The sequence below is a fragment of the Homo sapiens genome, chromosome 6, assembly GCF_000001405.40.
Source record: "Homo sapiens chromosome 6, GRCh38.p14 Primary Assembly".
NCBI lineage: Eukaryota > Metazoa > Chordata > Mammalia > Primates > Hominidae > Homo > Homo sapiens.
This window is the reverse complement of record NC_000006.12, coordinates 11,172,851-11,198,254: the sequence shown is the minus strand read 5'-3', so window position 1 is coordinate 11,198,254 and position 25,404 is coordinate 11,172,851. Positions and strand designations below refer to the sequence as shown.

The 25,404-nt window shown below is 42.8% G+C and overlaps 1 protein-coding gene across 4 annotated transcripts in view, besides 5 other annotated features; it reads left to right on the top strand.

Annotated features, from left to right (window-relative positions):
• The window catches only part of NEDD9 (neural precursor cell expressed, developmentally down-regulated 9), a 199,051-nt gene extending 184,094 nt beyond the window's left edge, over positions 1-14,957 (top strand). For all 4 annotated transcript variants that reach the window (NR_073131.1, NM_001142393.2, NM_001271033.2 and 1 more), the window contains 5 exons: positions 4,563-4,664; positions 5,809-5,910; positions 7,050-8,291; positions 9,948-10,037; positions 12,584-14,957. Coding sequence is in view for 3 of the 4 variants with exons in the window: in NM_001142393.2 (NP_001135865.1) it covers positions 4,563-4,664; positions 5,809-5,910; positions 7,050-8,291; positions 9,948-10,037; positions 12,584-13,093 (2,046 nt within the window). In the remaining variant the exon portion in view is untranslated. The remainder of the gene's footprint in view (positions 1-4,562; positions 4,665-5,808; positions 5,911-7,049; positions 8,292-9,947; positions 10,038-12,583) is intronic.
• Positions 1,365-2,230: an enhancer, noted in NCBI's record as "NANOG-H3K27ac-H3K4me1 hESC enhancer chr6:11196258-11197123 (GRCh37/hg19 assembly coordinates)". NCBI's record gives its function as "activates a minimal SCP1, AML or CMV promoter by ChIP-STARR-seq in naive H9 embryonic stem cells {active_cell/tissue: H9 hESC(naive)}" and the evidence as "EXISTENCE:reporter gene assay evidence [ECO:0000049][PMID:30033119]".
• Positions 2,231-3,097: an enhancer, noted in NCBI's record as "H3K27ac-H3K4me1 hESC enhancer chr6:11195391-11196257 (GRCh37/hg19 assembly coordinates)". NCBI's record gives its function as "activates a minimal SCP1, AML or CMV promoter by ChIP-STARR-seq in naive H9 embryonic stem cells {active_cell/tissue: H9 hESC(naive)}" and the evidence as "EXISTENCE:reporter gene assay evidence [ECO:0000049][PMID:30033119]".
• Positions 7,016-7,786: an enhancer, noted in NCBI's record as "H3K27ac-H3K4me1 hESC enhancer chr6:11190702-11191472 (GRCh37/hg19 assembly coordinates)". NCBI's record gives its function as "activates a minimal SCP1, AML or CMV promoter by ChIP-STARR-seq in primed H9 embryonic stem cells {active_cell/tissue: H9 hESC(primed)}" and the evidence as "EXISTENCE:reporter gene assay evidence [ECO:0000049][PMID:30033119]".
• Positions 7,787-8,558: an enhancer, noted in NCBI's record as "H3K27ac-H3K4me1 hESC enhancer chr6:11189930-11190701 (GRCh37/hg19 assembly coordinates)". NCBI's record gives its function as "activates a minimal SCP1, AML or CMV promoter by ChIP-STARR-seq in naive H9 embryonic stem cells {active_cell/tissue: H9 hESC(naive)}" and the evidence as "EXISTENCE:reporter gene assay evidence [ECO:0000049][PMID:30033119]".
• Positions 12,032-13,231: an enhancer, noted in NCBI's record as "CDK7 strongly-dependent group 2 enhancer chr6:11185257-11186456 (GRCh37/hg19 assembly coordinates)". NCBI's record gives its function as "activates an origin of replication core promoter dependent on BRD2, BRD4, P300/CBP, MED14 and CDK7 cofactors, with strong dependence on CDK7, by STARR-seq in HCT116 cells {active_cell/tissue: HCT116}" and the evidence as "EXISTENCE:reporter gene assay evidence [ECO:0000049][PMID:35650434]".

Genomic DNA, 25,404 nt, shown 5'->3' with positions numbered 1-25,404 from the left:
CGGAGGCCAAAGACGCGTTTAGTTTGGCCAAGACACTGTTTTTAAAATTTAAGTCAATTTTGAAAACCAGGTTTCACATAAAATTCCAAATTTCTGGCTTCTGAAAACGTGAAAGATCTGGCAACACAGGGCGCAATGTCTTCCCTCTTTCGGTAGAAGGAGTTCTGTCTCCCCGGCACCAAAGCCTGGCTTGTTTCTTCCCTACACCCTGCTTGCTCGGTCCGTGAGCATCTGAGTATAGGACCCTTGCTCTGCTATGGGTACCAGCTCAGGGAACACAGATGCAGAAACATCAGAAAGAGTCCCAAGGGCCTCTCATCCAACTTGCTGACTGTCATCATGCTGGTTCTCAGACCTCCCTATCTCTCTCTGCTATCCAAACACAGACCCTCCTCTTTAAAATTTCAGCATACATGGCTTTCAAAATTATGAGGCATGAAAGTGTCAAAAGCATCTCCAGAAACTCATGCCGCCAGGATCTGAGACTCAAAACAGTGTGGATCAAACACCATCAAAGTGTGGGGTGGGGCAATTCGAGTTTGTTTCCTTGTTTTTATGTAAGCAGATTAATTAGAGAACTAACATAACGCCAGTCTTTGGGCTTTTGATCCTATCCTGCCAGGACCCAGACTTGGAGATGTATTAAATGGATTCTTCCTTTTCTAAATGGAAGAATCTGCCCTTCTCGGCTTCATAGCTCTTCTCAAAGTCTCTGTCTTGGACCCTCCCGTTAGTTACTGAGAATGGTATACTAACATCTGAGAAAGGTTGGATTCCTCCTAGGGACAGAAAATCCACATATGGAAAGTGCAAATCCTGTGCCGGGTAATCACGAAAGCAGTTGCAGTAGCATTGGATCATAGAGCCCCAGGAGACCTCACAATTCAGCCCCCTTCCTGGCAACACTAATGAATTAAGAGGTCAGTTTGGTAATTCCAAAGGCTAAGCCTTTGTAACTATAAATAAATGCACAGAATGAAAGGAATGTAGAAAAAAAAAAAAGCAAACAGAGGGGGAAAGGAAATGAAAAACCTGACTTGATTTCATTGAGAAAATTAGTTTAAAAATGTCCTTTGTGTAGCAATTCCTTTAATGCCTCACCGAACAAATGCCTAGGAGAATTCTTCCAAACTTGAGGTCCCCTTAACCAGACCTTGGTGTGCGTCTTCAGCTGAAATTCAGCAGTTCTGGGAGGTGGAATGAGGAGAGATCGTTGGAAGGTTTTTGTGTACTTATGTCACGCAGCAAGAAAAAGCCTTAATGAACCACAAAACTGGAGACTTTGTAAGGTACAGCTCAGTCAGCACTTTTCCTCCGAGGAGAGGACACACAATTGGCATGAAAGTGACCCAAGCAACAGGTCGAGGCAGAGAATGTCCAAAAGTAGAAGACTTCGAGCTCCCTGATCTTCCACACGTCACAATGCGGATTGCTGCACTGGACTTGGCATTTAAATGGGACCAGCATTTTGCATCCTGGTCCCATTTAAATGCCATTTGTGGACCAACGTGAATTAGATGGTAATGTCAGGAAGGCTGGAATCGGTGGTGGCGGGCGGGGGGTGCTGTATTCGGTTGGCGTTTCCCCCCTGTGGTTTTCACCATCTGTTTCTTTGAATGCATAAACAAGGAAAATGACTGGTTTGGAATGCAGAGTTTTAAAAAACCAGAAGACCACAGGCATCCTCTAAATGAGAAAGAGAGAGCAAGTTGGGGTTCTGTGACATTTGTCAGGAAGTGAAATGTTAAATACCGGGAAGCATTAGCGCTTTCTGCCAGGGAAGATCCACAAAGGCAAGGAAACACTTTAGCGGTGAACCTGCCTTCCTTTTCTGAGGTCGTGCTATGTGTTTATATGTCACCTAGTGCTATTTTCAGACACCAACGCCACCCACTCTAGCTCCCAATCCCCTTCTGGGTTTTTTGTTTGTTTGTTTGTTTTGTTTTGTTTTGAGACAGAGTCTCTCTCTGTCACCCAGGCTGGAGTGCAGTGGAACGATCTTGGCTCACTGCAAGCTCCTCCTCCCAGGTTCACGCCATTCTCCTGCCTCAGCCTCCCAAGTAGCTGGGACTACAGGCGCCCACCACCACACCTGGCTAATTTTGTGTATTTTTAGTAGAGATGGGGTTTCACTGTGTTAGCCAGGATGGTCTCGATCTCCTGACCTCGTGATCCGCGATCCTTGCCCTCCCAAAGCGCTGGGATTACAAGCGTGAGCCACCACGCCCAGCCTGTTTGTTTGATTGTTTGTTTGTTTTTTGAGACGGAGTTTCACTCTTTTTGCCTAGGCTGGAGTGCAGTGGCAAGATCTCAGCCCACTGCAACCTCCGCCTCTCGAATTCAAGTGATTCTCCTGCCTCAGCCTCCCGAGTAGCTGGGATTACAGGCACATGTCACCACACCCGGCTAATTTTATATTTTTAGTAAAGACGGAGTTTCACCATGTTGGCCAGGCTGGTCTCCAACTCCTGACCTTAGGTGATTCTCCCGCCTTGGCCTCCCAAAGTGCTGGGATTACAGGCATGAGCCACTGCGCCCGACATGCCCGCTTCTGTTTTTTAAACGAAAGATGAACAGTTAAGCTGGACTTAGCCTTGGTTTTCCATTAGCATTATTGCTAAGTTGGCAACCTTGGATAAAATCCACTCTTGGAAACTTTTAAGCTGAACAAAAGCTGCACTATGAGCAGGTGCTATGATAAAGCCAAGACAGCGCTCTAAGTAGAGGGGCTGATGAAATAGACTAAGGGGAGATCTTCATTTCTCTCCTGGACAATAGCGAGTAAAAAAAAAAAAACAATCATATAAGGGCATTAGGAACACATTGTGTTTTTCTTTAGCAAAGGGCATCCTGCTTTGAAAAGGAAGGTTTGCTATGCACAATACAGTGGCCATTCTATAAAGTGGTTCCGTATGCTCCATGCCAACAGACCTCAAAGCAATAGGTTCCTTTTTTAAACCCAAGACAGTGGAGAGACTTGATGGAAATTTTGAGTGCATACTAATCTCTTTTACTTCGTTGCAAGAAACAATCAGTTGTAAGCACTAGGGATTAAAAGCCAAATTGAACTCAGGCATTTTGAGAGCGCCTGGGGAGAAGGCATTGGTGCATTTGGCTGAGTTCCACCCATTTCAGCATAAGATGGACGTGGAGCATTTTTCACATAGTTCTGTAGGCAGCCTGACGCCAGAGTTTTCACTTCAGAGAAAGGATAAAAGTTGACGGTTTCTTAGGGAACAACCAACTCTTCCTCATTTGCAATGTCTGTTCTCCTCAAAGATGTCGTGGGCAACGCTTGAGATGGGCACTCAATGACTCAAAGGGTGGGGGTTAGGCAGAAACAAGACCCTGGGCATTTAGAAGCCCTTGGACGATTACATATATTTCAAAATGAGTTAAGTTCAAATAATTTTTTGCTGGTGCTTAGCACACCAATGAAGTATGTAGATATGAAAACAGGAGGCTGCTAGGTAAGATTCATTTTATTGGCACTGGTTCCAGATGCCAGCATCGTGATGAACGCTATTTGACTTCTGATATCCCTTGACGTAGGTACTGTTGGGGATGTTTTCTTTCCTGGTGGAAATGGGAAAATGATTAGAGACCAGAGGTCAGGAGACCTGAATTCTGTTCCTGGTGCCTCCCTGACTCAGTATTTTGTTTGTTTGATACGTTAGAATGAAAGCTCCCAGAGGTTTCTAAGGACAGCACAGTTTGAGCATTGGCTTTGTAAAAGTACTCTGGTGACCTGTGGAATTACAGTTATAATCATCATAATAATGTCCAATGAAGAGGCATACTGAGGAAGGCATGAGAGGAATTTTAAGTGGCTAAACTCTATTTGCATTATTCATTTTACAAATTGTTTCAGAGCCTTAAAGCAAATTTCAGTATGCGGTACTTTAGATGCAAAATGCTCCTCTAGGACTTTCATAAGTTACACACAAGTATCCCTTAAAGTATATTTCAGAAATATGCTTGCAGTGCATCAACTCTATCTGATGAACTTTGAGATGATCACAATTAAGGGTGATAGAGATATTTTAGGGATTTTTTTTCTCATTGGGATTCAAGAGGGATTTAAAAGTTTACTAACCTGGGCCAGATGCAGTGGCTCACACCTGTAATCCCTGCACTTTTGGGGGCTGAGGTGGGTGGATCACCTGAGGTCAGGAGTTTGAGACCAGCCAACATGATGAAACCCTGTCTCTACTAAAAATACAAAAAATTAGCTGGGCATGGTGGCGTGCACCTGTAATCTCAACTACTCAGGAGGCTGAGGCAGGAAAATCACTTGAACCCGGGAGGCAGAGGTTGCTGTAAGCTGAGATTGTGCCACTGTACTCCAGCCTGGGGAGCAAGAGCAAAACTCCATTTCAAAAAAAAAAAAAAAAGTTTACTAACGTGGTGTCTACTTGTCTCCTTCCTGTTATGTCTTCTTTCTTTGGTTTCTTTCTATCTTTTTATGAGGGAGAGTTGAGGGATGAGTGCTTAGTTAGGAGGCAAGGAGATTCAAGGACTCAGGCTTGGAAATTTACACCTCTGTGCCTTCTCTCCCACAGGTGATAACCCCCGTGAGGACAGGCCATGGCTACGTATACGAGTACCCATCCAGATACCAAAAGGACGTCTATGATATCCCTCCTTCTCATACCACTCAAGGGGTGCGTACCAGAACATGGTCACAAGAGGAGAAGCGCTTCTAAGGGTAGCATTCCTTCAGGGCTGTAGAGAAAAGGGAGTTCACAAATTATGCATTAATATATGTCATATGAAGCTTTGTTTAGGTTGTCTACCCAGTAGCCACTTTAGCCAATGCTATTTAAATTATGTTTTCTGGATTTGCTTTATCAGGAAATCCTAGTATTTCACCCAAGAGAGCTTATGTTCTTCTACAATTTTGCTTCAGAAAGTAGATTTTTCTTTTTTCTTTTTTTTTTTTTTAAGACAGAATCTCACTTTGTTGCCCAGGCTGGAGTGCAGTGGCTCTATCTCAGCTCACTGCAACCTCCACCTCCCAGGCTCAAGCAACTCTCCTGCCCCTGCCTCAGCTTCCCAAGTAGCTGGGACTACAGGCACACACACCACCATACCTGACTAATTTTTGTATTTTGTAGGGACAGGCTTTTGCCATGGTGGCCAGGCTGGTTTTGAACTCCTAACTGCAAGTGGTCTGCCCACCTCGGCCTTCCAAAGTGCTGGGATTACAGGTGTGAGCCACGGCCCCCAGCTGGAAAGTAGAAAATTTAAACTACACTTTAAAGTACAGACAGCGTAGATATTTCACATAAGATCTTTTTTTTTTTTTTTTTTTTTTTTTTTGAGACAGAGTCTTGTTCTGTCACCAGGCTGGGAGTGCAGTGGCACGATCTCAGCTCACTGCAACCTCTGCCTCCCGGGTTCAGGCGATTCTCCTGTCTCAGCCTCCCAAGTAGCTGGGACTACAGGTGTGCACCACCACACCCAGCTAATTTTTGTATTTTTAGTAGAGATGGGGTTTTACCATGTTGGCCAGGATGGTCTCGATTTCTTGACCTTGTGATCTGCCCACCTCAGCCTCCCAAAGTGCTGGGATTACAGGCGTGAGCCACCGTGCCTGGCCAAAATCATTTTTATATTAAATGTAAGTTAAAAACCATAAAATGTATTAAAAAAAAAGGCAATAAATCTGTTATAACATGGAGCACTGCCAAAGATCAAGCTTGTACATAACCTGGTAAATAAATCCATAATTAAGTGCTTAGGAGCATAAAAAATGACCAAGTATAAGACATTTCCATTCTGGGTAACTCACGGGTTTCTCTTCAGGTATACGACATCCCTCCCTCATCAGCAAAAGGCCCTGTGTTTTCAGTTCCAGTGGGAGAGATAAAACCTCAAGGGGTGTATGACATCCCGCCTACAAAAGGGGTGAGTGAGTGACTACAAAGCAGCAAAAAGGAGTGTGTGTGTGTGTCTGTGTGTCGGGGGGTGCAGGGTTGGGAGGGTGGGTAAGTAGTTCACTCGAATAAAACAAGAAAGGCAAACCCAAAAGGGGAAAATGTAGTCTTGGTGAGAGTAAAGGAAGGAAGCAAAAAAGGAAAGGCACTAATTAAAGATAGCTCTAGGGATTTCATATTGAGAAGCCCCAACTAAAAAACACTAGGTGGCCAATAAGGATAACCCTTTGGCAGGGAAGATAATTAGTTCAGTTTGGCAAGTACTAATATATATTTGTAGAGGGTTTGTTTTGTTTTGTTACATTTTGTTTGAGACAGGGTCTCGCTCTGTCACCCAGGCTGGAGTGCAGTGGCGCAACCACAGCTCATTGCAGTCTTTACTTCCCAGGCTCAAGCAATCCTCCCACCTCAGGCTCCCAAGTAGCTGGGACCACAGGTGCACGCCACCATGACTGGATAAATTTTATTTTTTGTAGAGACGGTGTCTCCCTATGTTGCCCAGGCTTGTTTTGAACATATGGGCTTAAATGATCCTACTACCTTGGCCTCCCAAAGTGCTGAGATTACAGGCTGAGCCGCGCCTGGCCTGTAGAGGGTTTGACAGTTTCCTCAGTGTGTATGTTTGAGTGAACTCGTTTGACTCACTCTGTTACCCTATGGGGTATGCCTGCACAGGAGGCACAGTAATCCCTACTTTACAGACAAGGGGACTGTGTTTCAGACGCCTATGCAGCTCATTCAGCATCACACAGCTGGTGTGATAACCAAAAAGACCGGGGGAGAACTCTGGTCTTACTCTGCCTCTCGGCACAGATCAGCAGAGAAAGGATACCCAGGAGGTGGTCAGAAACACAGGACTGGAAACACAGGGTGAGCAATTTAGCCAGGAGGGTTGTACATACGAGTCTGCACCAAGAACGTGGGGTTGGACACACTTGGCAAAGGACAAGGGAAGTGACAGCAGAATAACGGGGAACCTTGGAAGTGCCTAACATTGGGGCGGGGGAGGGCGACCGAAAAAGTGCCAGCAAATAGGACTGAGCACATGGGACCACAGGTTCCCATGAGCCAACTCAATAAATAGCATTTCGCTTTCTACTTGCTTTGCAGGTATATGCCATTCCGCCCTCTGCTTGCCGGGATGAAGCAGGGCTTAGGGAAAAAGACTATGACTTCCCCCCTCCCATGAGACAAGCTGGAAGGCCGGACCTCAGACCGGAGGGGGTTTATGACATTCCTCCAACCTGCACCAAGCCAGCAGGGAAGGACCTTCATGTAAAATACAACTGTGACATTCCAGGAGCTGCAGAACCGGTGGCTCGAAGGCACCAGAGCCTGTCCCCGAATCACCCACCCCCGCAACTCGGACAGTCAGTGGGCTCTCAGAACGACGCATATGATGTCCCCCGAGGCGTTCAGTTTCTTGAGCCACCAGCAGAAACCAGTGAGAAAGCAAACCCCCAGGAAAGGGATGGTGTTTATGATGTCCCTCTGCATAACCCGCCAGATGCTAAAGGCTCTCGGGACTTGGTGGATGGGATCAACCGATTGTCTTTCTCCAGTACAGGCAGCACCCGGAGTAACATGTCCACGTCTTCCACCTCCTCCAAGGAGTCCTCACTGTCAGCCTCCCCAGCTCAGGACAAAAGGCTCTTCCTGGATCCAGACACAGCTATTGAGAGACTTCAGCGGCTCCAGCAGGCCCTTGAGATGGGTGTCTCCAGCCTAATGGCACTGGTCACTACCGACTGGCGGTGTTACGGATATATGGAAAGACACATCAATGAAATACGCACAGCAGTGGACAAGGTGGAGCTGTTCCTGAAGGAGTACCTCCACTTTGTCAAGGGAGCTGTTGCAAATGCTGCCTGCCTCCCGGAACTCATCCTCCACAACAAGATGAAGCGGGAGCTGCAACGAGTTGAAGACTCCCACCAGATCCTGAGTCAAACCAGCCATGACTTAAATGAGTGCAGCTGGTCCCTGAATATCTTGGCCATCAACAAGCCCCAGAACAAGTGTGACGATCTGGACCGGTTTGTGATGGTGGCAAAGACGGTGCCCGATGACGCCAAGCAGCTCACCACAACCATCAACACCAACGCAGAGGCCCTCTTCAGACCCGGCCCTGGCAGCTTGCATCTGAAGAATGGGCCGGAGAGCATCATGAACTCAACGGAGTACCCACACGGTGGCTCCCAGGGACAGCTGCTGCATCCTGGTGACCACAAGGCCCAGGCCCACAACAAGGCACTGCCCCCAGGCCTGAGCAAGGAGCAGGCCCCTGACTGTAGCAGCAGTGATGGTTCTGAGAGGAGCTGGATGGATGACTACGATTACGTCCACCTACAGGTAAAACAGCGGAACTCATAAAACACCTACACTCACTCACATGCAGGGAGCCTGAGAAAGATGCCTATAAGGATGTCGGGTTGGACTGCCAAAGGAGAGAACATAATTAATGTTAATCTACATGGTTCACAAATTGGAGGGAGTGTCGTAGAGTAGTAAGAACGCTGGGCTGAGAGTCCTGAGTACTCACTCAGATCTAGCCCTTTCTCTGACGTTTACTGTGTGACCAACTTATTCAACCTCCTTGGGCCTTAATTTCCTCATTTGCAAAATGAATGGGGTAAGGGGTTGGATTAGATCCCGTTGATATACCTCAGGTAAGAGGAGACTCACCAAGTAGGATAATAGGCCCTCTAATAATAATACCAGCTCCACTTCTATTTGTGTTTTATGTATAGTTCCATGCAATATTTTATTTGAAAAAAAAGTTTTCGTCATTAAGAAAAAGAATAGAAGACCTTTGCACCAGAGAATTTCTAAGGCCCCTGCTAGCCCTACTCTGTGTATGTGTGTGTATAATTGCTTTAAAACTTAGCCCCATCTCAGACTTACCTAGAGGACCACTGGGCATTAGCTAGCTGTCCTAGGAGCTTAATCTGTGTATGGGACATTGGATAGTCACAGTTGGCCTCCTACAATTGGGAATTCTACCAAGCTCCAAGTTGACCTGGGATTCCGACAGCTTTCCCTTCCACTTTGAGGGATTAAAACATTCTACTGGCTGGGCGCAGTGGCTCACGCCTGTAATCCCAGCACTTTGGGAGGCTGAAGCAGGTGGATCACAAGGTCAGGAGTTCAAGACCAGCCTGGCCAATATGGTGAAACCCCATCTCTACTAAAAGTACGAAAATTAGCCAGGCATGGTGATGCACGCCTGTAGTCCCAGCTACTTGGGAGGCCGAGGCAGAAGAATCACTTGAACCTGGGAGGCGGAGGTTGCAGTGAGCTAAGATCGTGCCACTGGACTCCAGCCTGGGCGACAGAGCGAGACTCTGTCTCAGAAAAAAAAAAAAAAATCTACCAAGATCCATTGTTTAGGACTAGGCTTACTATCTTATTCTGCCATTCTTTTAATTTGACTGAGAGTCACAGATTATACTGAGAACTACGTAACTATTATGCCAAATTCCCTCAAGCGCAAGAAAGTGTGGCAAGGAGAACTGAGCCCCACCTGATGCTGAGGAAGGAAGTGGAGAGAGAGAGGATGGAGGCATTGAACATTCATCTTACTGGTTGTCTGACCCTGCACAGTGGGAACTACTGCCTTGGAGCAGAAATCTATAGATGATTTGAGGGAACTAGAAGTGAGAGGTGGACCACATTTAGACCTGCATTTGGGGGTTTACAGGTTCACATATAATCTATGAGAAAAGAACCCAGAGACTATAAAAAGAACATTATATATGAGATTTGAAGGGAATCATGAGTAGCTCTCCGAAAATTTTAAGGTGCCCCAGAAAGCTGGCACCCTATATGGCAATGGGCTTTATTTTTCTGCCACCCCTGTCGTCTAGGGTTCACAGTGCCTCACTGGGCATTTGAGATGTTGCCAAGGCAGTGGAAAATAAAGAGTATTTACTCATCCGTCAATGAAATTGTTAGCATAAGTGAATCACAGTGATGACATAATATGTTCTTTATGTTGAAAATTAACAGGGTAAGGAGGAGTTTGAGAGGCAACAGAAAGAGCTATTGGAAAAAGAGAATATCATGAAACAGAACAAGATGCAGCTGGAACATCATCAGGTAAGTTCAATCAGAGCAAAAACTGCTTGGCATTGGAAAGATTTCCCACCTAGCACTAAGGAAAGGTATCACTTCAAGAGATTATGATTTTGATTCTTCCAGCTCACTGGCAGGAATCAGCTCCAAAGCACGGAATGGGGTTTAAAAGCAAAGAGAAGGTTTATGACCTTGTTAGTTCAACTGGGTGTACCTGGGTTCCATCTAAACGGCAATTTTTTTAAAGGCTAAACCTGCATATCTAACATATGAGGACTATTTGGGTTAAGGCATTTGGTCTCAAGAAACAAGACCCATTCAAGCTAGCCTAAGCAAGCAGGTTTATAGTAAAGCCACAGTAGGGGAATTCAGTAACAGAAAGTGAAGATAGAGCCAGGTCTGGGGAGAACTAGAACTGTAAATTATCTCTCCTTCTTGTAGTTCCTTTGCTTCTTTCTATCAGTCTACTTCACTCTCACCTATTTTCTGGTTTTCTCTAATTATCTACTCATTTGGCTCCCCTGTAACTTTGCAGAACCCATAAATGGCCACTCAGAACTTCTATAGATGGCTTTTCATCTCGGCTTCCTCTTCCGATGGTTAGCTCCCTTCTCTTGTTCATCAGATTCCCAAGAAAGAGTCTGATTGGGCCACGTTGATTGGGCCATTTCTCTTTCTCTCTCTCTCTCTCTCTTTCTGTCTCTACCTCGCTATTTGTCTCTCTTTCGCCAGCAACACAAGCCTATGGTTTGCCTGGCCTTGGTCCAATCTAAAGGTAGGAGAGCAGAATTCAATGTTTTCAACATATATCCAGGCCTATCTACTGAGGACTTTGGGCAGGGCATGTTCATTCAAAAGCTGGGTATGAGTAGGGGAGATAATGACGACTATTGCTAGAACAAGGGCATACAAATAAAGAGAGATGGATTGAGGATTTATTTACAAGCCTTTTAAGATGAAATGAAGTGAAATGGCATGTAATGACATGAAATGGCATGCTATATTTAGGAAATCTGAGTTCTAATCCTTTCTGGCCAACCAACTATGTCAAGTCAGGTAACCTCCCCGAGCTTCAGTTACTTCCCTATAAAATGGGAAAGTACCCCCCCCATCTAATGACATGATATATTGATGAACATATTTGCATAAAGCCTAAGATATATAAAATATAATCCATTATGATTAAATACCTTGGAATATCACCTTGTACCTATTTATGTTTGCCTTGGCATCTGGCAAGGTAAGACTGCAGGGCTTTGGGGAACTTGTAGAAACCATAGCAATCGCTAAGAAGAAAACAGATTCTAGAAAAGTAAAGCTGTTGAAGGCTGGGCACGGTGGCTCACACCTGTAATCCCAGCACTTTGGGAGGCCGAGACGGGCGGATCATGAGGTCAGGAGATCGAGACCATCCTGGCTAACACAATGAAACCCCGTCTCACTAAAAATACAAAAAATTAGCCAGGCATGGTGGCGGGCGCCTGTAGTCCCAGCTACTTGGGAGGCTGAGGCAGGAGAATGGTGTGAACCTGGGAGGCGGAGCTTGCAGTGAGCCAAGATCGTGCCACTGCACTCCAGCCTGGGTGACAGAGCAAGACTCTGTCTCAAAAAAAAAGAAAAGTAAAGTAAAGCTGGCTGTGCATCTCTCAGAGAAGCTGGGGAAGCTGGGTGAGGTGATCACTGCTCCAGCTCATCCCTACGTCCAGGTGGGAGATTAACTGAGTCTGAAGCTCAGGTCACAGATAGTCCTTATCTGCAGAAGAGAGGTCTCTCTTGAGTCTTAGTGGAATCCCTAGAAATTATTATAATTGCAATTTAAATAATACACCATTTGGTAGCAATGAGGAAAGAAGGAAGAAAGCCAGCACCTGATGCATCTGACTCTGGGTAAAACCCCCTTCTTTTAACAGCTCTGGGGGACTAAATATTATGATGCACAATTCCCATTCAGACTGCCTTAGAAACTTTTTTTCCTTAAGTGCTCATATATTTATATGCATTAATCTTCCTGTAGTGCTGGATCATAACATGTCTATCAATCTTGACAGAAAGAGTAGGATAAACAGAAAGGGGTCATGAATGGTCATTTCATCTGAGCATCCTGAGATAGTCGAGGCTTTCTCCGAGAAGGAGCAAACTGTCAGTGACTTACTTGACAAGGAGGTCACTACATTTGGTTTTCCCTTGCCACCCCTCAACATTAATAAACATTTACATAGAGCCTACTACATACCAAACTATTATAAGCATTTTGTAAACGTTAACTCATTTAACCTCCATAAAGGTGTAGGTAACAGGGCTGCGGTTTAAACACTATGCTACCTTCTAGCCAGAGGGTACAAGAGACCAGTAGTCCAATCATAGAAGGTCTGAGCTTGAGGATCATCTTTCCCAACGTCTACATTTTACAATTTAGGAAAGCAAGGCAGCTTGACCCAGGCTTTACAGCTCACATGCATCTGACAGTTACTAGCGACTAAAATCCCTGTCTTTTAACTCCAAGGCCTAGTGAATTTCCATTGCAACACACTCCCTTGCTCTAATGAGATCTGCTTTCGTCTTCCTTGCAGCTGAGCCAGTTCCAGCTGTTGGAACAAGAGATTACAAAGCCCGTGGAGAATGACATCTCGAAGTGGAAGCCCTCTCAGAGCCTACCCACCACAAACAGTGGCGTGAGTGCTCAGGATCGGCAGTTGCTGTGCTTCTACTATGACCAATGTGAGACCCATTTCATTTCCCTTCTCAACGCCATTGACGCACTCTTCAGTTGTGTCAGCTCAGCCCAGCCCCCGCGAATCTTCGTGGCACACAGCAAGTTTGTCATCCTCAGTGCACACAAACTGGTGTTCATTGGAGACACGCTGACACGGCAGGTGACTGCCCAGGACATTCGCAACAAAGTCATGAACTCCAGCAACCAGCTCTGCGAGCAGCTCAAGACCATAGTCATGGCAACCAAGATGGCCGCCCTCCATTACCCCAGCACCACGGCCCTGCAGGAAATGGTGCACCAAGTGACAGACCTTTCTAGAAATGCCCAGCTGTTCAAGCGCTCTTTGCTGGAGATGGCAACGTTCTGAGAAGAAAAAAAAGAGGAAGGGGACTGCGTTAACGGTTACTAAGGAAAACTGGAAATACTGTCTGGTTTTTGTAAATGTTATCTATTTTTGTAGATATTTTATATAAAAATGAAATATTTTAACATTTTATGGGTCAGTCAACTTTCAGAAATTCAGGGAGCTGGAGAGGGAAATCTTTTTTTTTCCCCCTGAGTGGTTCTTATGTATACATAGAAGTATCTGAGACATAAACTGTACAGAAAACTTGTCCACGTGCTTTTGTATGCCCATGTATTCATGTTTGTTTGTAGATGTTTGTCTGATGCATTTCATTAAAAAAAAAACCATGAATTACGAAGCACCTTAGTAAGCACCTTCTAATGCTGCATTTTTTTTGTTGTTGTTAAAAACATACCAGCTGGTTATAATATTGTTCTCCACGTCCTTGTGATGATTCTGAGCCTGGCACTCCCAAATCTGGGAAGCATAGTTTATTTGCAAGTGTTCACCTTCCAAATCATGAGGCATAGCATGACTTATTCTTGTTTGGAAAACTCTTTTCAAAACTGACCATCTTAAACACATGATGGCCAAGTGCCCAAAAGCCCTCTTGCGGAGCAAATTTCAGAATATATATGTGGATCCAAGCTCTGATAGTTCAGGTGCTGGAGGGAAGAGAGACCTGTGTGTTTAGAGGCCAGGACCACAGTTAGGATTGGGTTGTTTCAATACTGAGAGACAGCTACAATAAAAGGAGAGCAATTGCCTCCCTGGGGCTGTTCAATCTTCTGCATTTGTGAGTGGTTCAGTCATGAGGTTTTCCAAAAGATGTTTTTAGAGTTGTAAAAACCATATTTGCAGCAAAGATTTACAAAGGCGTATCAGACTATGATTGTTCACCAAAATAGGGGAATGGTTTGATCCGCCAGTTGCAAGTAGAGGCCTTTCTGACTCTTAATATTCACTTTGGTGCTACTACCCCCATTACCTGAGGGAAACTGGCCAGGTCCTTGATCATGGAACTATAGAGCTACCAGGACATATCCTGCTCTCTAAGGGAATTTATTGCTATCTTGCACCTTCTTTAAAACTCACATATGCAGACCTGACACTCAAGAGTGGCTAGCTACACAGAGTCCATCTAATTTTTGCAACTTCCTGTGGCCAGTGTGTATAACCCCTTCCACTATCTCACAGATAGTCACAGCGTCCATTCCATAGTCTGTCTCCTCACATCTGTTAGTATTGACACAGCACAGACACCACAAGCCATCAGGTTCTTCATGGGGCAGGTGAAATACTTCTACCCCATGGGTAAATGTATTCACATATTACCAAGAGAAGAAGCACATTATCTATGATCTTTTGGCCCAGTTCTTATTTAGCATTTTTATTCCAGCCTACTTGGAAACATGTTTTTATTTGCAATATATGCCTGACTGAATTAAGCTTGCTTGTTTTAAACAACCAAATCATTGGAACAGAAAAGGATTTAAAAAACAAGAATGCATGATCTCAGAGTGATTAAAAAAAAATCAGTGGAAATAAATGATCATAGAAGGTGCTTTTCAAAACAACTGCTATTATAATTCTCAAAGTCCTACTCTGCCAAAAGAAGATTAAAAGTCATACATTACATTACAAGGAAATGTTCATGTGGGAAGAGGGTTGCTGAAAATCAACAACGCTTGAAGTTAAAAAGTGTGTCTTTGTAGATTTCATTGTATAATGTGTATTTCTTAGGAGATGGCTGACTTGATTGATCTACGCTAAGTGGAGACATTTCACATTTTTAAAACCAAATGTTCAATCTGTATTACTCTTTGCCGTCTTGTATGTAGAGGCTATTTTTAAATCATTAAATTTTTAGATCTCTGTTTTCATAGCCACTGGGTTTTCTTTTTCATACTCCTCTGTCACAGAATTAAATATTGGCTTACTTTGGTACTCCTAATATAAAAAGTTAAATTATGATTATTTTAGCAATGCTATAGGTCTGGATTTTTTTAGGAAAATTGAGGGTTTGGTTTTCTCTGTATATGTGTCACTTCCAAGTGTATTTGCATTCAAAGAAAATTCTAGAATCTGTGAACATTATCAAATTCAAATATCTGGAACAAGACTTGTGTTCACCAAAAAACCCATACACTCAGTAACATATAGGATGATTTGTTTTCATAATATGGATGTTACCAGTCATGTGGTTTTTAGAATCAAAGAAAATTTTTCTATTTGTTTTGGAATAGTCATAAAGAAATAATTTAAAGCAAACTATATTTAATGAAAATAAGAGATTTGTAATCATGTAATTATCATTTTTAATGGTTGGCCCACTCTTTTATTCAGGTATCCCACTGAGATTTACAGACAAATTATTTAAATGTATCATGTACCATTTTGCCCACACATATAAGCATTAATTTATTTTTGACAAAATGTCAAGGCACTTCAAGGAGGGAATGAAAACTCTTCCGAAAAAAAAAGTGGTGCGGGAACAACTAGATCTATGAAATAAAATGAATGTGTACCTTACGTTCTACCCAAAGATTAACCCAAATGGATCATAGACCTAAATGTAAAACTTAAAACTCCTAGAAGAAAACACAGGAGAAAATCTTTGTTATCTTAGGTAGACAAAATTTCCATATTTGAAACACTTTAAAAACTTAACTCAGAAAAAAAATGATTTATTGGACTTTGTCAACATTAAAAACTCTTATTCTTCTGAGGATACCATTAAAAAACCAAAAGTCAAGCCAGAAAATGGGAGAAAATACATCACATCTATCAGCCAAGGACTTACATCAGACTTAGGAGACAAAAAACTAAATTTTTTTAACTCGGCAAAAATTTGGAGAAGAAACTTCATAAAAGAAGACTTATGTAGGTAAATGGAAAAAGTAAATAAACACCACACCAAATAGAATCACTAAAATTAAAAAGACAAATGATACCCTGTGTTGGTGCAAGAAAGGGGAGCAAACATTGCTCTTGTATATCACTGGTAAGAATGTTAAACAGTACAAACACTATGGAAAACAGATTGGCGATTTCCTAAAAAGTTAAACCTATGTCTACCCTATGACCTAGCAATTTCTCTTCTAGGTATTTACCCAGAAGAAATAAAAGCATATGTCCATACAAAGACTTACATAAAAATATTTATAGCAGCTCTATTTGTAATAGCAAAAGCTAGAAAGAACCCAGATGTTTGTTCATCTATATGAATGAATAAAATCACTGCGGTATATCCACACAATGGAATACTACACAGAAATCAAAAGGAAAAATATTGCAACAAATAGCCAACATGAATGAACTTCAAAATCATTATGACGCAAAAAAGAAGCAAGACAAAAAGAATACATATGCTATGTTTCCATTTATACAAAATTTTAGAAAATTCAAACTAACCTATAGGGACAGAAAGCACATAAGTGGTTGCCTAGAGAGAAATGGTGGAAGGAATGGATTCCAAAGAAGTCCATGGAAACTTGGGAATGAAAGCAGTGTCCATTGTCTTGATTGTGGTGATGGTTTCACAGATGTATGCATGCCAAACCTCTTCAGATTGTACACTTTAAATATGTACAGTTTATTCTTTGTTAATTTTTTCAAAGTAAATGGTCTAGGCACTCCCATTAAAAGTTAGAGATTCTCAGCCTGGATTTTAAAATGCAAGACCAACTATATGCTATTTAAAAGATGCTCGCTTGAAATAAAAATACACAGATAAATTAAAAACAAGGGGATAGAAAGAGATGTACCATGTGCATTCTATTTTTTTCTTAAAAAGCCGGAGCAGCTATATTATTAACAGACAGAGTAGAATTCAGAACAAGGGCAAAGAGAGGCATTTCATGATAAAGGGATTAATTCATAAAAAAGACAAAACATTCCTAAATGTGTATGTACCAATCACGAAGTCTCAAAATACATGAAGCAGAAACTGATATAACTGAAAGGACAAATAGAAAATCTATAATGATAGGTAGAGATTTCAATACTTGTCTCTCAGTAATTAATAGAACAAGCAAACAAAACAAAATAAAACCAGTAATAATTGGTAAGAATGGAACTCTCTTCCGTTGCTGATAGGAGTGTAAAATGGTACAATCGTTTTAGAAAATGGTTTGGTAACCTCTAATAAAGTTAAACATATGCTTTCAACATAACCCAGCAATCCCAATCATAGATATTTACCCCCCAAAAAATGAAAACATATATCCATATGAAAAGCTAATTTCTTTATTCATAATTGTGCCAAATAGAAACAACCCAAATGTCATCAACAGGTGAGTAGATAAGTAAATTGTGGTCTATATATACAATGGAATACTATTGAGCAATGAAAAGGAGTGAACAAATTAGACATGTAACAACATGAGCAGATCAACCTCAGAAACATGCTGAATGAAAGCCAGGCAAATAAAGAGGAATTCTGTATGAAGCTCCAGAAGGCAGGAATCTAATCTGTAGTGACAAAAATTAGACCTGTGATTTCCTAAGGCCAGGGGTAGGGGTTGGCGATTATTTGGGAAAGAGCACGAAGGAGCCTTTTGGTAGGATGGATATGTTTTATATCATCACTGTCCAACACTGCAGAACTTTCTGCAATGGTAAAAATGTCTTCCATTTGCACTGTCTAATATGCTGAATAACAGTCACATATGGCTACTGAGGATTTGAAACATACCTAGTACAACTGAGGACGTTTTTCATTTTAATTTTAGCTCATTAGACTTGAAATAGCCACATGTGTTTAGTGGCTATTCTACTGGACAGCACGGTATCTATATCTTGATTGTTGCAGTAATTGTGTGCATGGATAAATTTGTCAAAACTTATTATAAAATACACTAAAAATAGGTGCATTTTATTGTATATAAGCCTTACCTGAATAAAGTTGATTTTAAAAAGAGGCAAAGCATTTCCCAACTAACTCTAATGCTCCAATTTTTCAAGTCAATATTATCAGCAGTTCACAGAAACATTGGCGGTTCCATAGAAAGAGAACAAACCGGAAAGCCAAGCTTCTAAATCCATAGCAGGCTACTGCTTTAGAGTCAATGATACTGAGCTCGTTCATGTCCCACCAGGAAGACAAATGTGGCTTCCTAACCCTGAGTTGGTAAAAGCCTGTCTGGGTTTTAGATGCTTCCCCATAAACCACATCTACATTCTTTATATTTTTGAGGGATTATGACAAAAGAAATATTGTCATTCACCAAAGAACATAAAAAACAACAAGGATTCACTTATTCATTGAACATTTCCTGCCTGGCCGGCCAGAGCAGGCAAATCTGCCCTGCGTATCAATAGAACCCCAGCTGTCTCCGCCAGAGGAGCTGGCCCCACCTCACAGCCAGTGTCTCTGTGTGCTCAGCAACGTGCTGTGGACCAAAGGGACAGGAGAAGAAGGGAGACGTGGATTCTGCCTCCCTTTGTTTGAAATAAAAAGTAAACATGTCCTTTAAACAATTGAAGGCAGATTATAGACAAATGTTTAAGTAATTTACAGGCAAAGACTTTAAAGTAGAGAGAATGAGAAAAATCAAAGTGATCTAGCTGGTGAGAAAGAGCTTTTTGCCAAGGGTGGGGTTGAAGAGGTTGATCATAAAGAAAGGTGTCTTTGTCTGTACTGTGCTGCTATCACAGAATACCAAACACTGGGTAATGTATAAAGAACAGAAATGTATTTCTCACAGTTCTGGAACCTGAGAAGTTCAAGGTTGAGGGCTCACATCCAGTGAGGGCCTTCTTGCTGCATCATCCCATGATGGAAGGTAGAAAGGCAAGAGAGCATGAGAGAGCAAGGGATTGAACCGGCAGCCTCAAGCCCAAAATTTTATAATCCCCATTAACCATGCATGAGGGTGGAGCTCTCCATACTTCCCATTAGGCCCCACCTCCAAATGCTGTTGCAAGGGGGATTACGTTTCCAACACACGCTTTTTGGGAGATACATTCAGACTATACCAGAAAGGCTAACTGGACGGCACAGGAAAGCCTGGCAAAGGCTGGTGGCCAGGACGGCGTGCTGCAGAGATGCAGTGGAGAGTTTAGGTGATGAGGGGCTCTCTAGAATCACACTGCAGCGACTTTGGCTTTGCATTTTGTACCTTCAGAGAATTCATTCAGAATAGACATACCAAATATTCGTTGGCCTAATGAAACTGGGCATTAGATGGCATCATATCCTTTCAAAGAAGAGAAAGGAGAGAAAGCAGGATGGGGAGCCTGGATGAGACAAAGATGATACAGATAGTGAAGACTATGAAAGGATAAAAGGGAGGGGATGGAGAGCAGAGGAGAGGAAAGAGCAGAGGAGAGAGACAGAGAGAAGAAGCAAGAAAGACCCTGACACAGGGTGATTAGAAAAGAGTCAGTGAAACAAGTAACAGACTGCAAGAGATACACAGTATATGCTAAAGCAAAATGCTATGTTCTTAGGTCATCTAGGTTCTCAAGATATAGTCAGAAACAAACAGTCAGTACATATTACTTGAAAACAGGGCTGCATTGTCATTTTGAAAAATACAACATCGTATATCAGTCTCTTGGAGAGACTTAATACTCGTGAGCATGTAAAAGGCTCTAGGCCGGGTTTGGTGGCTCACGCCTGTAATCCCAGCACTTTGGGAGGCTGAGGTGGGTGGATCACCTGAGGTCAGGAGTTCAAGACCAGCCTGGCCAACATGGCAAAACCTCATATCTACTAAAAATACAAAAATTAGCCAGGCTTGGTGGCGGGCGCCTGTAATTCCGGCTACTCGGAAGACTGAGACAGGAGAATCACTTGAACCCGGGAGGCGGAAGTTGCAGTGAGCTGAGATCACGCCACTGCATTCCAGCCTGGGCAACAGAGTGAGACTCTGTCTCAAAAAAAAAAAAAAGAAAAAGAAAAAAAAAGGGCTCCAAGAAGTCTTACAATATAAAAACTTGCCTTGTCTACTACTTCACAAAATTATTTTGACCCTAAAAGCTGTTTTCTCTCTTAACATTTATAAAAACCTGGTCTAGGATATTCAGATAGTTTTCGTTTTCCTCCCCCAACAAAAGGGTGAGGCCCGCCAATGTGACTCAGCTCACAGAATCATTATTGTTCTCGACTACATTCATCAAGGTCAAGTCCTCTGTCTTTAACAGTCTTTTAGAACCAATAGGCTACGGGGCAGCACCTGTTCTGATCTTTAGCACCCATACTCACCCTGAATCTGTACAAAGCTTCTAAATAAGTATGTGAAGATACTTTATTATTTCCCCCATTCATTTCTGATTATCTGAATATTTGTCTTAGAATAAACATGGAGGAAACAAACCAATAATTAATTTGGATGAGCTTTCCCAAATCATCAACTCCTTGGGACCAGGATTTTTTTGTAGAAATGCTTTGGAAAGCCCAATTTTATATGAAGAATTTTAAAATAAAAATATCTCTCAGAAGAGAACCAAAAAAGTGAAAGAAAAATAAAATACATACAAATGGGAAGATAAATAGAGTCAGAGACACATTGTCTGGCCCATCTAGAAATTTAATCTAAGAAGAGGTGCTTGATGCATGGAAAGGCTTTTGAAGGTGGCAAGAATGATAAGGACAAATACATACTTTGAAAAAATATGATTTAAGTGGTTAAACCCTGGCTATGTTAAGGCATAAGATCAATAGATGTGCTAGTGTATAAATGACATCAATCGCCACCATTTATTGGTGTCTAGTTTGAGTTAGCAGACACTACATCAAGCACATTATCTTTGCCCTCATAGCAAACCTCTTATAGATAGTTCTTATTTTCACTTTACAGAGGAGGAGGCTGAAGCTAGAAGGGAATTAAACAACTTGGCCCAAGTTTCAAGGCTGGAAAATGGAAGTAGCCCTTTCCCTATACCACACAAGCACTCTGGGAGCTGCAGGTAGAAAAGTGTACAAAGGATATTCTCTGGGTAATTGCATTACAGTCATGACCTGAGCAGGGTTTAGCTGGTAGCTTTACCCCAAATCAGGTAAGAGGCATGGACAAAAGATATTCGCGTGCAATTTTAAATATTATGACATTTGTATGTGATTTTGAATATGGTCCTCTTTGCAATTAATTTTCCTAATAGTAAAATACTCACATTATTTATTAATTCATATAACTAGTCTCTTTCTCCCCACAAAGACTAAGGTGCATACAATATTTTCGTTTTAGAAGAAGACAACTGAATAAAAAGAAAATAAAGGTAAAAAAAATAAGACGTAGCTGTTAACATAGTTCATACACAAAATGCATGTTGCAAAGGCCTGTGAACTTTGGCCTTGAGTTTTCTGGACAGCCCATGAGATAAAGAAAATGAGATCCGGCCGGGTGCGGTGGCTCACGCCTGTAATCCCAACACTTTGGGAGGCCAAGGTGGGCAGATCACCTGAGGTCAGGAGTTCACGACCAGACTGGCCAACATGGTGAAACCCCATCTCTACTAAAAAATACAAAAATTAGCTGGGCGTGGTGGTGGGAGCCTGTAATCCCAGCTACTCTCGGGAGGCTGAGGCAGGAGAATTGCTTGAACCTGGGAGGCGGAGGTTGTAGTAAGCCAAGATCACGCCACTGCACTCCAGCCTGGGCGACTAAGCAAGGCTCCATCTCAAAAAAGAAAAAGAAAAAGAAAGAAAGAAGGAAGGAAGGAAGGAAAATGAAATCCGTTATATGATTTATAAGTATCCATAAAATGAAATCAAGCCCACTGTTTCCCATACTGGGACCTCAGAGAGATTTCTCACCAGGGTCTTCATAACGGGTTATATAACACAGTAAATCATACAGCATCATGACATATCATCTTTACAGTAAATATAGTGAGACCACAGCTTGTTTCTAGTACAGCATCACTTATGTGCTATTATTCTTTCTCTAAAGTCTAACACTTTAAAGTATATGATGTGGCTTTTAAGGCCCATCATGATCTAACCCCAAATGGCTCTTTCACTCTCATTTCCTACTATATCCTTTCATGAATTCTCCTGAACAGCCTCTCTGGGCCACTCAGTCATTCCTGAGTATCTTTGATTTTTCTGTTCTTTCATCCTATTTACTCATTGTTATTCACCTTCATCTCTGACATTCAAAATACAAGTCAGGAAAGGCAGAGAGTAAGTTATACACACCTGGTGGGTGGTATATTTTGGACAGGCTTTATTAGCCTCTCCTCCAAGTTTGCACTACTATCAATACAACTTCAATCATTCATTTGTTCTGCAAATATTTATTGAACACCTATTATGTACCTGGCACTGAGGGTACAAGGGAAGCAATAAAAATTTAATACATCCCTTGCTTTATGAAACTTCCAATCTGGTGAGTGAAAAAAAAATGTTGGTTTTGTCAAAAAAGAAAAGAAAAGCGCAACTCTATGAAACACTATGAAGTCAAGATACATAGCTCCATAAGAGGGAATATTGGCGCATCCTAAAGTAGTGTGGGGAGCAGGGATGGCTTTCTTCTGGAAAAGATGTTTGATGTGAGATCTGATGAGTGAATGGACTTTATCTAAGCAAAGCTGGGAAAGGACATTCCAAGCAGAAGTAGGAGTAAGGACAAAGGCCCTGAGAACCCCAGGATCCTGCTGTGTTCTAGGACCAGGAAGAGTCCAGTGTGCCTGGCGCACAGCAGAGAAGTGGGAGAATGGTGAGAAATGAGGCTGAAGAAGTGGCAGGTACCTGGCCATGCAAGGCCTTCAAGGCCACATTAAATGATTGAAAGATTATTTATTTATTTATTTATTTATTTATTTATTTTGAGACAAAAGCTCTGTCACCCAGGCTGGAGTGCAGTGGTGTGATCTTGGCTCACTGCAACCTCCACCTCCCAGGCTCAAGTGATTCTCCTGCCTCAGCCTCCCGAGTAGCTGCGACCACAGGCCTACACCACCACGCCCGGCTAATTTTTCTGTTTTTAGTAGAGATGGGGTTTCACCATGTTGGCCAGGCTGGTCTTGAACTCCTGACCTTGTGATCCGCCATCTCAGCCTCCCAAAGTGCTGGGATTACAGGCGTGAGCCAGCACGCCTGGCCCTATTTTTATTCTTTAAGAGACAAGTCTTGCTCTATTGCCCAGGCTGAAGTGCAATGGCAAGACCCTAGTTCACAGCAGCCTGAACTCCTGGGCTCAAGCAATCCTCCCATCTCAGCCTCCCAAGTAGCTAGGATTACAGGTGTATGACACTATGCCCAGCTAATTTTTTTTTTTTTTTTTTTTTTTTTTGGAGAGACAGATATCTGTGTTGCCCAGGCTTGTCTCAAACTCCTAGCTTTGAGAGATCCTCCACCCTCAGCCTCCCAAAATGTTGGGCTTATAAGTGTGAGCCACTGCACCTGGCCTAATTAAAGAATTTTAAACAGCTATATGACACCATCATATTTTTGCTCTGAAAATAGCTCCCTGGCTGCAGTGTGGAGAGTGGTGAAGAGGGGCCATGTGGATCCTGGCAGTTCAGTTAGGAGGGCATTGAATCAGTTCTAGGAGAAGCAGTGAAGATACGTTGGATTAGAATGGAGGAGTGGAGATGGGGAGATGCAGATAGGTTCCAGGGACGTGGGAGGGCAAGTCCGTAGGAAAAGTGATGAACAGCACCTGGTGCATGATGATGAGGAGCCCGGGGAAGGGCTTCTTGGCTGGGCATCTGGATGGATGTGGATCCATTCATGAGCTAGGATGTGCCAACGCTATTTCCATCTCCATGGAACCAGCCTGGGGTGCAATCCACACTTACTGCACTCCCCCTCCCTGGCACTGAGCAAAGCGCATGAGGGAGGAGCAACATTGGGCAAGAACCTCCAGACTCTTATCTGGAGGAGGCTAAGTTAAGCCCACTTTACTTCCTCCTAGGGCGTGGATGTGTAGGCACATGCTTATTTTATGGTTGGGAAAAAAGAAGGAAAAGAAAAGAGAAAAACAGCCTTGAAATAGTTCTAGGCCAGGCACGGTGGCTCACGCCTATAATCCCAGCACTTTGGGAGGCCAAGGCGGGGGGATCATGAGGTCAGGAGTTCAAGACCAGCCTGGCTAACATAGTGAAATCTGTCTCTACTAAAAATACAAAAATTAGCCAGGCATGGTGGCGGGAGCTTGTAGTCCCAGCTACTCAGGAGGCTGAGGCAGGAGGATCGCTTGAACCTGGGAGACGAAGGTTGCAGTGAGCCAAGATCGCACCACTGCACTCCAGCCTGGGCAACAGAGTGAGACTCAGAAAAAAAAAAAAAAAAAAAAAGAACGAACGAACGAAGGAAAGAAGAAAAGAAAGAAAAAAAGAGAGAAAGAAAAGAAAGAAAGAAAGAAAGAAAAAGGAAAAGAAAGAAGGAAGGAAAGAAACAAAGAAAGAAAGAAAAGGTTTTAATGAGTAGAGGCCAGCCTGCAGGGGGAGAAACCTCTACAAGGGCAACTGAAAAGCTTCAGCACACTGACTGACCTTCATCTCAGACTCAACTATTACCAATCTCTAAAGCAAATTCCTCTGCAGCCTGGGAGGGGGCATTGAGGGGCAGGAACCACCACCATACCTCACAGCATGATTTAAGTCATCTCCCAACAACTATAATTAAGAAAACTGAGTTAACAAAAAGGGCACCTTACTTTGTCTCCTAACTGTCAATTTTCCAGAGAGACAAGAGTCAGCAGGGAATGATGTTAAATGAAAACATACCCCTAATTTTCTCTGGCCTGCCTGGCAGTCAGGAGACCACCAGACACCAGACATTGTCTATCCCCCACACAGCCCCTCACCCAGTCATCATCCAAGCGCAGTTTATGAGCCTTCTTTATGACCCAGGCAGCCTAACGGGTTTTTTTTTCAGAACCATCTGGGCCCTTTGTGACTTAAATTCCTATTAAAGAAGTTGAAGTCTCCAAGAACAATGGTTGTGAATGAGACATTTTAAACAGTGGTCAGAGAAGTAACTTATTTCAGCCTTGCCCAATGTTAAAATATCAAGACAAAGGGCTGGTGTGGGTGTATTTTTAGAATGATGTAAAGATGTAAATGGACAACTTAGTGAAGGCTGTCCTTGCCCTTGGGCAATTATTTCTACCTCTCTGTCTAGACATCCAGTCTACACTGGAAAGGACCTACGATTTGACAAAAGAAGGTTTTGGATAAATAATGGGTCCCCCAATCCTGTTTGCAAAAGAAAAATCAACAAGCAAGAAAACAAAAGATCTGCAAAGAGCACTGAGAAGGGGACATGTAGGGACCTGTATGCAGAGGAGAGCGCTCTAGAGAAAAGTTACTAGGTCCTCTGCCCCTTGCAAAGGGGAGTGAACTTGTGGGTGTTTACACGTACCAGGTGGCTTCCCGTT